The sequence below is a fragment of the Homo sapiens genome, chromosome 5, assembly GCF_000001405.40.
Source record: "Homo sapiens chromosome 5, GRCh38.p14 Primary Assembly".
NCBI classification, from domain to species: Eukaryota; Metazoa; Chordata; class Mammalia; order Primates; family Hominidae; genus Homo; species Homo sapiens.
Genome location: NC_000005.10, coordinates 158,734,545 through 158,748,529, shown reverse-complemented (window position 1 = coordinate 158,748,529; position 13,985 = coordinate 158,734,545). Strand labels below are relative to the sequence as shown.

At 39.4% G+C, this 13,985-nt stretch overlaps 1 protein-coding gene across 25 annotated transcripts in view, besides 1 other annotated feature; it reads left to right on the top strand.

Annotated features, from left to right (window-relative positions):
- The window catches only part of EBF1 (EBF transcription factor 1), a 403,997-nt gene that overhangs the window by 351,387 nt on the left and 38,625 nt on the right, over positions 1 to 13,985 (top strand). The window lies entirely within an intron of this gene.
- Positions 10,461 to 11,037: an enhancer, noted in NCBI's record as "NANOG hESC enhancer chr5:158164501-158165077 (GRCh37/hg19 assembly coordinates)". NCBI's record gives its function as "activates a minimal SCP1, AML or CMV promoter by ChIP-STARR-seq in naive H9 embryonic stem cells {active_cell/tissue: H9 hESC(naive)}" and the evidence as "EXISTENCE:reporter gene assay evidence [ECO:0000049][PMID:30033119]".

Genomic DNA, 13,985 nt, shown 5'->3' with positions numbered 1-13,985 from the left:
ATTAATGGTTTGTGAATCCGAAGATAGTTAACTGATATGTGCATTCAATTAAGATTGGTTTTTCAGTTAAAAGACTCCCCAGGAAGAGCAGCTTTATTCTCATTTCTGGGTTATGAGCAGTTAATGAAGAAGGCATACCAGAATTCCACCCGTGTTATCCGGAGCTACCTCTGGATTCCATAACCATTTTCAACTTACTTGATGAGGGGAAACTTGCCAGTTGAGATTAAACAAGCTGGACGATGGTCATGGAGAAGCGTGTGTCATTTCCCATGTTTTTTGTGGGTGATGTCACCACCACACACCGCACAGAAACTGGTTTTGTATTTAAGTGTGATCCATTCTGGCAACTTTCCCTTTTAAAACATATGTCTTAACCAAGTCAAGTCTTTATGTAGCATATGTGGATATACATTTATATTTTTCAAGTCTAAGACAGATATTTTTACTGTAGGCATCTTTTACTATTTGTTTTCTCCTGTGTTGTCCTGAAGGGAAAGATAACACCATTACTTCCAATGTATTAGCTAAATGCTTCCACAGGGGCAGTCCATCACAGAGAAGCCAGTGAACAATAGTGACAGCCTGCCCTGGTTCAGCTCTTACTGCTGTGCAACTTAGGCAAGATCCGTCACCCCTCTATCGTCCTAAGGGTCTTTCTCCTGTAAAATGGTGATGATAACAGTACAGACTTCACAGAGACAGCAAAGAGTTGGTGATTTGTAAGATAGTGCTTAGCACAGTCACTGGCACAAGGTCATTGTGCATCAATTACTATGAACTACTATTCTTATCTCATTTCCATTACAAGAATGTAGGTAAAGTCACAGCATGTTGTTTTTAGTCTTGGAGGTTTTTGCAAAACAGCCTTTAAAGGACAGCTTGGCAATGGCTTTAAAACATGCGGATGCTTTGTAGACATGGTCCATGATACTTTCAGGGTCCTGGGAACATTTGTTGTCTTCCTTTTAGTTGGTGTTTGTTTTATAAAGTGGCAGGTCTATTTGGCTTTGAAATGGCCAGCAGTAATAGGAGATAGATCATGTATATGAAGATGTCATCTGAATGACAGATTTGATGTTGTCTTTTTCCATAGGTGCAATTCAATCACATTTCATTTCTTTGCCTACCAATCCTTCACCCAAGACTAGCAGCCACAGTTTTCTCATCTGTGAAATAGGAATATCTACCTTTTGGGGTATCCAAAGGAAAAAATTAAGTTTGCAAAAGTGAAATGCTCAGAACCGCTTCTCAACAAATGATCCTATTTATTTTAAGTCAGGCTTACATGGAGGAATGACACAGAGGACTGGGGTTGGTTCGGCTCCAACATTTGAGTTTTAGTTGTGATTCAGCTGTTGACTAGCTGTTGATCTTACACTGGTCACTTAGGCTTTCCAAGCCTGGTTGTGTTTGCTGAAGGAAGATTTTTGCAGTAATAAAGTTCTGAAGTTGATTGAGTAGATGTGCCTTTGCCCCTCTCTACCTGACCACATCAAGATCACACTGTTAAATCTAGAGTTAGAAGGGAGACTTAGAAGAATGTATTCGTATCTAAAAGTTGTTTTGGTAGCTTTTGAAAAATGCAATCCAGTATATTTGATTTTGTCCTTAAAGGGTCACAATACCTATTGTCCCAATATAATCACAAAAATTTTCCATTTGAGAATAGGTCAGCAGTTTATCAAGCCGATCTCTGCTCCTGTAGATATGTCCCAGCCCTCTGAAAAAGCCAGCAACAATATCTCACATATTGGTCTCAGGCAAAGTGAATTCCGCAGATGGAGCTAAATATGTATTTTTATTTCCTCTAAATTCACCAGGCTTCAATAGGAGCAGGAAGATTATAGAGAGAGTATAGAAGGAAGGTCACTTTTTTTTTCCTTGTTGGTTTTAAGCAGGTCCATTCCACCCATCAATATAGAGAGAAATGCAAGATTCAGTTTGGGGAACTTCAGTCTCTTAATTCCAGTTAGAAGGAAAAAGAGGTCCAGAGGAATCTTAGCAAGAACAAGGGCTTCTGGTAACGCTAGATGGCATTTCTAAAGGCCTTTGCCCACTTGGAAAAATAGTTTATGTGGCCACTGGGCCTACTTTTGGGGATGCCTCTGAACTTAATACAGATCCAGTCTCTAAGCTTAAAATTCTTTCATCCTCCCCACCCAAAATAGCCAGTTTGCCCTCCAGAAAGCTTGTACTGATTTCTAACCAACCTTCTGGGTATAAGAGTTCTCATTATCTCCATTAAAGTTGCTGTTATTAAGAATTTAACCAATTGTCACTTTTATTAGTAAAAGCTAACCTACTTTTGCTTCATCTTGTGCTGTGACAAATGCTATGCTCTAACAGCGTCCTGTCATAAAGTCTTCTAATGATGCGTGTACCTTAGGAGAACCATTTGCAGCTCTCAGACAAGCTAAACAGAAATATTAACCACGAGTCTTCCCCCAAGCTGGAAATAACCCAAAGCAGTAGTAATAAAAACTTAACCATGATGTCCTGAAACATGGACTGTGCTATCCTATCCTTAAAAGTTCAGGGCATAACTTTAGCTAAGCCTCTCTTTCACTCCCTACACTCACCCACATTATTCCATGGGAATTAGGAAAGCCTCTCTAGCACTTGGGATGGCACGTGAAAGAAAGAATCAGAGCCTGAAGGTGGAGGCTGATTGGTTTCTTCCACTTAGGTTAGTGGATTACCAGGGTGTTTGCTTATAGATCAACAGCAACAGCCAACATTATTTTCACTTTCTCCTGGACAGTGTGGTCCATATTCCAATTAGAACCCCCACCCTCCCTCTTTATCCTCTACATTTAGACAACAAATTATATCCACATGGCAATTTCTTTCTAATGCAGTTACCAGACCCCTTTCTTTGGGGCCTAAATTCAAATGAGATTATGAAAGCCTTTGGGTCAGTAATGTAGCAACTGGTCTAGTCTCTTCAGCTCTTGAGAACTGATGTAGGCACTAATGAGATAAATTCACTAAAATGCTTTTACATGGAGACTTGGTAAAGATACACGACACAAAGAGTCTTCTGTGTACCTGGCTTAGGTGGGTGGGTTCAAACCTTTTCCTTGCTGAAGGTCAGAACCAGTGTCAAATTTACAGCAAACCCACTTTTGATGCTTGGTGTTCCCTTTGGTTTTTATCGTCACAGTAGGTATTACCTGACCAAGAAGTAATTACACCATTATTTTTTATGTGGTGCTTTATTACTTGCTTTTCAAAATTGGTTTCCACCATCTCACGAGCTAATAGCAACAAATATGTGATTGTAATGTTCACTCTGTCAGGAGACCCGGGGTTATTGCGGAAGTGGCCACATACCCATTGCCCACACAATAACTGTTACTCCAAAACAAGTGAACTGCTTAACTAAACATCTATTGATTGTAAGACGCTGGGGACCAATATTAAGACCACCAACATCCAAAGGGGAAGATTAAATTCTAGTTATTATACACTATATTTTGTCAATATTTTGTGGCGAGGAGACGGAGCACAAGTCCAAATCTAGGGTAGATTAGAAGAAGTAGAACTTCACTGGGTACCTTAAGTCATTAACTTAGTTCAATCCACTTCTTAAAAGACAGGCATTAAGAGTGTCAGCAGAAAACATCAAGAACCATGGAAATCCCCTCATCTTCACTGCTCCAAATATACTAACAGGAATTAACCAAATCTAAAAGTCAGCTCAAGGTTTATCATCATAGTTGTTTCCGGTGAATGTGACAGCTTTTGCCTTGAGGCATCTGAAGTTCTACAGTTTTCTTTAGGACTGGGGACTGATCTGGGACTGAGTGTCCTCCACGCTTTCTTGTATGGCTCTTATGATAAGCTAAGCTACAATTGGGCAAACAAGTTTGCCAACCTCACTTACTCATTTAGGTTCATATCTTTTTACTGGGAGTTATAGAGTGAGACTGAAGAAAACCAGAACTTTAGGATTAAAGCATCCACAAGTTGTCTGAAACTGTGTGTGCCATTTATGCTAATGATCTTAGTATAACATTTACAACTTCCTAATATACTAATTTACAAATTTGCTTACATTTACAACTTCTCCTCAGACCTCTCCTGGTTGGTTGCTTGACTGCACTAGATGGTGTTGATAACACCTTATATTTTGAGTTCCTCGTTTCGGTGATACTATTCTCTCCTGGTATTCTTTCTATACCTTTTTGACGTGTATTTGTCCTGTTTTGTCTCTCAATCTCTCTCTAACCATTCCTTACCTGCTTGTGTTCCCCGTAGTGTCTGCCCTGGGTTCTCTTTTCACATGTGGTTTTTGCTATTACCTATATATTGGTGTTCCTGATAGAATTAACTCCATCACTGATCTTTTTCCTAAGCTTCTGGTTTTTTTTTTGACAGTGTCTCACTTTGTTGCCCAGGCTGCAGTGCTCACTGCAACCTCCACCTCCCAGATTCAAGCGATTCTCCTGCCTCAGCCTCCCAAGTAGCTGGGACTACAAGTATGCACTACCACACCTGGCTGATTTTTGTATTTTTAGTAGAGACGGAGTTTCACCATGTTAGCCAGGCTGGTCTTGAACTCCTGGCCTCAAGTGATCCACCCACCTTAGCCTCCCAAAGGGCTGGGATTGCAGGCATGAGCCACCGTGCCCAGTCTGAGCTTCTGTTCTTTATTCTCGACTGTCTACTAAATATTTTTACCTAGATCTTCTGGCACCTAAATTCCAGCATGTCTGAAATTGAACTCATGATTTTTTTTCCTCCTGTATATAGTTTTCTTTCTGCTAAATGGCCACTGTTTCCACTCAGTCAGATAAATTAGAAATGTCAGCCATCCCCCATTCTTCGTATTGCCTTACATCTGGCATGTTGCTGAATTCATGTAGATTTTATTCTAAAATATCTCTCTGAAATCTACTTTTTCCTCCATGACCACCCCATCATTAGTTGGTCTTTTATTTTCCATTTGGATTATTACAATAATGCTGCCTTTAAGAGCCAACCTTCATTTTACTTCTATGGCTCTTTAAAATGTTGATCACATCGTGTTGCTCCTACGATCTGGAAAATCTTAAATGACTCCTTGCTCTCTACCTGCTCTTAGCAAGGCACCAAGGCCAATACTGTTACTTATGGTTAACCTTTAACACCTCACTCTCAACATGTTAAGCTGTACTCTGCCCAAACTGGAACATCCAACCCTACTTGAACACATCTTTTGTATAACTCCCTTTGCTCTTTCTGTTCCTATTGCCTGGAATGCTTTTCCTGTCCTTTTCCGTAGAAAAATCCTATTTATCTTTCCATACCCAACTCAGATATTTGAGCTAAGTATTTCCCTGACTCTACTACAGAGAATTAATTTTTTCCTCCTTTTGTGCAGTGTACATTAATAATGCTACAGTTTTGTATATTTTTGGGTAGCCAATTACAGGTCTGTCTCCCCACTGGACCATGTTCTTCTCAAGGGTATGGCACAGTGCCTAGAAGAGTTTTTCAAATGGAATCAATCATTTCCAGCTGGGGACTCACAGGGCACTGGACTTGCATGTTGTACATCTTTTTCTTTTCATCTTCTTAAGCATGGGGCCTTGTATACAGCAAGCCTGCAATTTTATTTAATTAATTAAACAGTATAAAACACCCCAAGTCTGGAAATGAATCCTGTCTTAATTAGGTGTCTCCTATTTTTTTCTCCTTTGTTCACAGAACTTACATTGTTTTAAAATGGTTGTGTCCTACTCCAGATGGAGCTCATTTTCAGGGTAATATTTGAGAACCAGAGGTGGTAGAATTTTTTAAACTGTAATTCCAAGTTAGCATAAAGGAGATGGGGAAGGTTGAGTCCCAAGGACAAGTGTAACACACCCGCTGTTCTAGAACCCCACATCTTCCTGCTGTTGTATTTGCCACACTGTTTTAGAATTCTGTTTGTGTCTTTCTGCCCCTCTAGACTCTGGAGTTCCTTGAGAGTGGGGAATATGTAAATATGTCTAATTAGTCCTGTATTCATTGCACCTGCCCCTGTTTCTAGCACATGGCCTATATTCTATTAATAGTAATAACAACTGCCTATTGAGTATTTATGTGCTAATCACTGTACAAATAATAGCACATTAAATCTTCACTTTACAGTTGAGGAATACTTAAAGAATGTAAGTGACTTTTCCAAAAGGAACATATATCCTGTCAATTATGTAGCCTGGCTGCAGTCTAGCTGAGTCTTACTCCAGGACGGTTGGGACAAAGGGAAGAAGAATGTGTTATTAGGAAAATGGAAGTCAAATGGGTTCTGGAGTGTTTTCATGGAATATAAATTGAGACAAAGGAAAGGACTAAAACAGATTGTAGATAGAAGGATACATGAATAGCAAAAACAGTATCACAAAAGTCCTGGAAGCCAAAATTATTAGAGATCTGCTCTGAGGAGCCCTTGGTTGGCCTAACTTGCTGCTCTAATGAACAGGTTCAGAGTAGGGCTCTCGAGGCAGACTGCCTGGGTTTGAATCCCAGCCCCTACTTTCATTAGCTCGGTGGATTTAGGCAAAGTCTGAACTCTCCAAGCCTCCATTTTCTTCTGTGTCTAATGGGAATAATGATAGTACCTCCTTATAGAGTTGTTGTGAAGGATAGGTTAATCCATATAAAGTGCCTGGCACACAGTAAGTCCTTAGGAAGTGTGAGCTGCTGTTGCTGCTGTTGTAATTATTAAAAGAAGACAAGATACACATGAATGAATGTAATTCATTGTGGCACTTAGCATTTAATTAATATTATGCTTCTCAGTGAATCCATGTTTTCTAAACTTATCAACCAAGGTGTCCCTACAAACTTAATGGGATGCTATGAGATATTTCAAACTTGAGGGAAACAGTGATACTTCAAGTACATCAGATACTGTATAAACTACCAGTTTAAGGTAGTTCAAAACTCAATATTACATTATACTGCTTTTTTTTTTTTTTTTTTAAAGACAGGGTCTTGCTCTGTCACCCAGGCTGGAGGGCAGTAGTGAAATCATGGCTCACTGTGGCTTGGAACTCCCCAGCTCAAGCTGTTCTCCCACTTCAGCCTCCCGAGTAGCTGGAACCACAGTCATATACCACCATGCTTGGCTAATTTTTTAATCTTTTGTAGAGACGAGGTCTCACTATATTGACCAGGCTGGTTTCAAACTCTTGGGCTGCAGCTATCCTTCTGCCTCAGCCTCCCAATGTGCTAGGATTACAGGTGTGAGCCACTGTGCCCAGCCTTACAGTGCATCCTTTTGATGGTGTCATATCTTTGCAAAGCTGGTTTTCAGCATTTACTGTGGTTACAAAAAAAAGTGCCACGTGAAAACCAATATGGAATCAAAAATGAAGGTGGCTGTGTTTAGTCTGATTCTGAGGTGTGCAAAGTTGTGTGGTGCCCACCAGGAACACATGTTTCACTAGTAAATTGTGATTATTTTAAAATGAAATAAAATGTTATATATTTTTTGTCCATTTCTTTATATAGTTTTTGTCAAATATGTATGTCCTACTAAGTTGCTGGAACATAAAGTTTAAGCTGTTCGCATCTAAGTAGTTAATAAACAGAATTGTTGGGCATTGCTTTTGGCTTAGGGATGCTTTGAAGGGATTGCTGAGATACTCAGGGTACTGTGAACAGAGAAAGTTTGAGGAGCTCTGAAGTAGTAGACAATAAATGTATAAGCAAAATGTGTGTTAAAAGTGTTCTAGAGTATAATAGTCAGGGGGAGGAGACTTCTTAGGATCAAGATGCTCAGCAAAAATAATCATTTAGGTTAGGTCAATACTGAAGAAGCCTGACTTCATTTATTTTTAAATCAAGATGCTATTTAAGTTGAAGCTTTGGCTGATAAAAACTTCCAGGCTTATCTGCAAGGCCATTGTAGCTCGCTGCATGGCATACTTGTTGTAAGTTCTCTGTAATTCCATTAAAATGTTACCAAATAATCACTTAATCTTCTAATATCTTCCAGTTACAAGTACTTTCCTGTCTTATTAGTGGAATTAGTGGATGATTTGGAGTCACTTTTTTATCACCATTCTTGGGATTTGTTTTTTCCTTTCCAGTCTGACCGTCTGCAGAGCTCTGTTATAATTTCATTACAACTCTTCTGAAACCTGTCCACTGGTTTGGAGGAAACAACTCTGTGAACAGTGGGAGTCATTTTCTGAGTTGTCTCATAAAACCATGATATTAACAATCACAAGTAGGACTTCAGCCCAGAACTCCGCGTTTGGTTAGCACAAGGCTCAGGGAAGGATTTCTTCGCCTTGGAGCCTGACTCGGTGCTGTCCCCTGCTGAGAGCCATAAGTCACTGGTAGGCTTGTTCTAGGAGAGTAATAAGTATTGTTGTTTAGCAATTGTGTTGTTGAAATTCAGCTCCACTATGTCTGACAGTATTTATCTAAAATACTTTCCCTGGTGCGTGTTCAAGTTCCAGTAAACCGTGTCTTATTGTGCGACCTTTTCATTTTCCAGTGAAAAGGGATCAGCTCGTCAGATAAAAGCTACAAGCCAGAGTACAGGAAAAATGCGTGCTCAGAAAATCCAAGCATGATTGAAAACAAGATGTGTTAAATCAATGCGGTTTATCGCCTGCCTATTCCCGGCAATTGCTGTTCTAAGCTCATTCTGAACACACACGGGGTGATAAAAGTATAGTGTCACAGCACTTGCTGGGGTGGGGATATAAGAAAACATGTTTATCAGACAGGCTGGGTGATTTTACCCCCTTGATAACAGCTAATGTCAAAACTCTTTGGGAAGAAATCTGAAGAACAATTATAGAAGTAATATTACTCTTGTTATATCAGAAACTATGCCAGTAGGGAAGAGAATTATGGACGTATCCTTAAATGTTAAGAAAGACAGAATATGTTGGTCTCCAATATTTAAACGCCATCATCCATTACAAAGTGGAAATTATTCTTCTCTTCTCATTTAAAGGAGCAAATTTGGCTTTGAAACCTAATCGTGAATGATCCAAATTAAAAAAACACCCAAATGAAAAAGATTGAAAGGTCAAAAAAAAAATTGTGTACATTCAACTTCTGTTTGCTCAAGGGATTTTATTTTAGTTTTAAAGTTGGATCAAATTTGGGAATCTAAATTAAGGCTCCTGGACGGCCATGCTGTTCAGAGCACTTTAAACACAGTAACAGGGGCAGCTTTTCTCATCAACTGTAGTACACTTAGAGAGCAATACAGTTTCTCCTAATTATTGGAGGTTCACCTACTTCCCATTTTAGACACAGTATAGCCCTCCAGGGCAAGAAAGGGGTCTGTTCATGAAGAGATGCTCCACTTCTGCCAGTAACTTCTCACCACACATCTAGAAAATGCCAACCGGTTGTAGTATAAATTGGTTTAATGTATCTCAGAGACAGCATTTGTGTCTCTTTCTCTCTAAAGTCAAATCAGCATTTGAGAGCTCCTTGTAGGCTTAGACCAATAAGAAGAACCTGATGGACAGAAAACAGTTTCTTGAGCATTTGGGGGCAAATTTAAAATACTAGGGTGGCCTCCCCAAAAGGTTTGTGTTAGTTGACATGGTGAGCCTTACATAATAAAAATCAGGCCACCAAACGGCTTGTTCATGTGTAAAATGTCAGGAGCCTAGGCACAGAGATTCCTGTTAGTGCTGGGATTTTGTTTCACGGATATTTAGTAAAAACAAAAACAAAAAACAGCAGTTTAATTGATTTGGTATCAGGACTTGTTAATGTGTGGCAAATTGAGGTTCATCAATATTAACATAAAATAGTCATCTTGGAATAATAAAGGACTACAAAAATATAAACAATGAGGCTTCTGTGCTAATTTATGCAACCAACTCTTTCTGTGCCTCAGTTTCCCACCTTTGAATTAGGAGTAATTTTTAACATTTACGTCAAGGGCATATTGTAGGAACCAAGGAGATAATTTCTAGAAAGCACTTTGTTATTACTGGAAAAAGAGTCTTATATGACCTCAGGGTATGTTTAAAATGGCACCTCTACAAGGAATCATTGTGACTGTTAACACCTACAATCTTCAGAGGTCCTTATAACTTAGAGAATAATTGAGTTCAAGATGCAAAATCTTAAAAATTAGTTTTCTTTTGCAGATGCCTTTGAAAGTAACCTGTCAAAATGTAAATTGGCATAAATTTTATGAAGGATAGTTAGGAAATATGTATACTGAAAGACTTGAAATGTGCATATTCTTTTATCCTGAGAAGTGCTTATTATAAATGCTTCTTAAGTCAGTGAAAATTTTGGGAAGAAAACCTTACATTCCAGTTAGTAGAGGATTTGTTACATAAATTATGTCTATCTGTATAATACGGTAAGCTACAAACATCAAAAAGAAAGAGATAGGTATAAGCCTGTATATAATCTATATTTTTATAAAACAGTATTGTGAAAATGTTTGGAAGCATACATACTAAAATATCAATCATGCTTCTACATGAATGGGGATATTATGGGGGTTTTCCTCCTTTAAACTATTTTTTATATAATAATTATGTTAACATTACTTTTAGATTTAGAAAAACAGTAAGGTGATTTCATTTTGAAAAACAAAAGCAAGTCTCTTAATTCTTTGTTCCTCTTCTTGATGGCTTTTACTTCTCCAAGAATTGTTAATTTCCAAACATATGCAAGTTCTTTGCATTCCAAGCTACAGTCCTGAGGATCTTCCCTCATCAGTCTTCCTCCGAGTGCCCCTGCTTTGTTTCATCCTCCTAGGCTCTTTGCTTTTCAGTTGACCTTCTGTCTTCAGCCTTTTCTTTGCATGTTACCCTGGCTGCACTCTTTGTAAAAAGGACGTAACCACTCAAGGCACCTAATACCTCTGATTGTGCCTGTGGTAGAGAGGCCTTGCTTCCTTTGCTTGATTTTTGAATCTCAAAGTTGTTGTCACACATCAAGAGACCTGAAGACTACAAATAAGACATCAGGGTGATCGGACGCGGTGGCTCACGGTTGTAATCCCAGCACTTTGGGAGGCCGAAGCGGGCGGATCACGAGGTCAGGAGATCGAGACCATCCTGTCTAACACGGTGAAACCCCGTCTCTATTAAAAATACAAAAAAATTAGCTGGGCGTGGTGGTGGGCGCCTGTAGTCCCAGCTACTCGGAAGGCTGAGGCAGGAGAATGGCATGAACCCGGGAGGCGGAGTTTGCAGCGAGCCGAGATCGCGCCACTGCACTCCACCCTGGGCGACGGAGCGAGACTCCGTCTCAAAAAAAAAAAAAAAAAAAAAAAAAAAAAAAAAAATCAGGGCATGTTCAAAGGCAGTTTGGAAATTTTCCTCTGGCTTCTCTATTGGTTAATTCTGCCTATGTTGGCTTCGTCTTGACACCCTTCTTGTTGCAGAAAGTTACAGCTTTCTGTGGTTCCAGGAGTCCTTCCCTGAAGCCCTCCTGAGCCTCGCTCTCTCCGAGGCAGGGGCACCAGGCTGTAAAAGCATTTCACGGGAAAGCAGGAGCTCACTTGCAAGGAATTTGGTGTTGGGTTTCTTAGGAAGTGTATCACTCCCACGGAAGAGGTGACCTGGTGTGCCGTTTGTGCATCAAGTATCTAGGCAGGTAATGAAATATCCAAATGGCTGGAAATGCAACAAATTTCCTCGTGAACAATATTTCTGGCCTTGTTCAGGTTTCTGGCTGATTTTTCGGTTTATATATTTTAAACTCAGTCTTAAAGATAGATTTGTGAAGATAACTTGCTGTTTTATTGTTTACCTCTGGTTGTTAATTTAGTGACTGAGGGAAAAATGGGGCCATTATGGAACAAAAAGGCTCTGCCTAACACATATGTAATAACTCTCATGCCCAGAATGGATCTGCCTTGGAGGGAAATGCTCTGCTGTTACTCCTTTAGTTCAAATATGGAGTAGTCACCAGGGAAGCTTGGAGACCCAGGTGCTAGTTTTATCATTGCCTCTGCTATGAGGTTTTATTTATTACTTGGCATAGAGTCTAGATATTTGTTTGGACATTAAATGGCAATAGAATATTAATATTGCCTTCCTAATATCTGCATTTCTTTTTATTTCCAGTCAAAATGACATCATGTCACACAACCATTAAAAAAAGGAAATTAAAACCCCAGAAATATGTGAAAGCACGGCAGTGAGTCGCTGAGCTATAAAAGCAGGGAATTCTGTAAGCCAATGTTGGAATGGCACCCAAAGCACTTTTCCCCTGGTGTTTCTGAACAGAACTCTGCAGCCTCTCATTTCCATCGTTTCCAGGAATAAGTATTCAAGAAGTTAACGGGGACGGAGGAGTGGCTTCTTTAAAAGGAAACTCCAAAAAGAGAAAAATCATTTTTCATAACTGAGAATGCATCTGGCTTGACTATATGATTTTAATTTGCAAATATACCCCCTTACAGAGAATTTCCTTTATTTGATGTGTTTGTGAAGTGGATTTCTTTAAGAAAGAAAAAGAGACTATAGGCATGAAAAGGCCACATATATATTTGGTTAGAATTCACTCATTATTATGAGTTTTCAATTGAATTTTAGAAGCTTGTGATTAGTATGAGTGCATAAAAACTAGTTGTGTTATCTCGATTTTCTTTGCATATAGCATTTCATGCTGCATGCACATTTGGACATTAGAGATTATAGCTTTGTAGAACCAGAGCTGTTCTGTCTTGACCACCACCTGGGTTGAAGCCCATAAAGAGAAAGGCTGAGAGATCGGTTGGAATAGAAAGTTGCTGGTTTCCTTTAGGGGACTCTGAGATGATGAGATCCGGAAGGAACCTAAAGCCCTCTATAAGCAGTCCCAACATAAAGCCAGAATAAAACAGTTTGATTTTTTTAACCATTTCATTAACTTTTTTTTCAAAAGTAGTAATGTTGATACAGTTCAAATGGCATCCTGGTGCATACAACAGATACATCCCACCAATATCCATTCCCCAGTATCACATCATAGCTGTGGGTGAGGGGATCCTTCTCAAATCTCAGCTGAGACATTTGCCCTGCAAGCTTACTCTCCTGTTTGGGAGCATTTGATTTTGCTTTTCATGCATTTACAGGAACGTTTCAGATGTACCCCTCCATAAGCTGTACACAACTCCACGAAGTCCTACTATGTGGGTTCAGTAAATATCTTTCTACCAGTAAATGAGTTTGAAGGGGTCAGTGGAAGACAGCTTGAATTCAATTGCTGTGGCCCCTCAACAGCCTGATTGTTCTTTAAATTAATGTATCCCCATTAAGTGTATTGTGACCCTAGACTTTGTCAGAAAGAGGAGCAGAGGAGGTGACTATAAGGAGGACCTGGCTGTGAGATGCTGAGATGCTGAGCTGCATCCCAGCTCTGCAAGTAGAGGATTTCATCTGTCTTTGGGGGTTGGATTATGTGTACCTTTCGGAAAGTTTGTTTTAAAGGGCTTATGATGTTGTGACACTAAACAGTTCATTCCTACGAATGCCACCCCCTCTTCTTGAGCATATGGTAAGCACTAAAAATGATTACTGAATAAATGGATAATTTAATGTCTTTTGGAATTTTTAAAATGCATACATTGGCCCCATTTTATTCTCATGGTATAAACATTGAGGCTTTTCTATTTGGGATAATGGATTCTTCTAAACCTAACTGGTTTAGGGTGACACCCTCTCAGACCCTTTTCAGAGTGTGTGGACTGGGTATTTGGAAGCAGGGCCACACAAGCTGTTCTCATCATTCCATTCCTCTTGCAGTTTACAGCTTCATCTGTTTTTCTTTTTTCAATCTAAGATGCTCATGCTTCTTTATTTGTAGTTAATTGTGTCCAATTAAGTTTTTTTTTCTTGCTCTACCAGATTCTCGGAATTGTCCCAAGTTTGAGGGGGAAAAAAATTGGTTAGTCCCATTTCTTCTGGTGCCTCCTGAGCCCTGCGCTTGGGTACAATGAGGTCACTTTGTTGAAGGATTAACTTTATATTACATTCTTGCAGAGTAGATGTATGTCCCTAAGGTATGACTACCCCCACTGA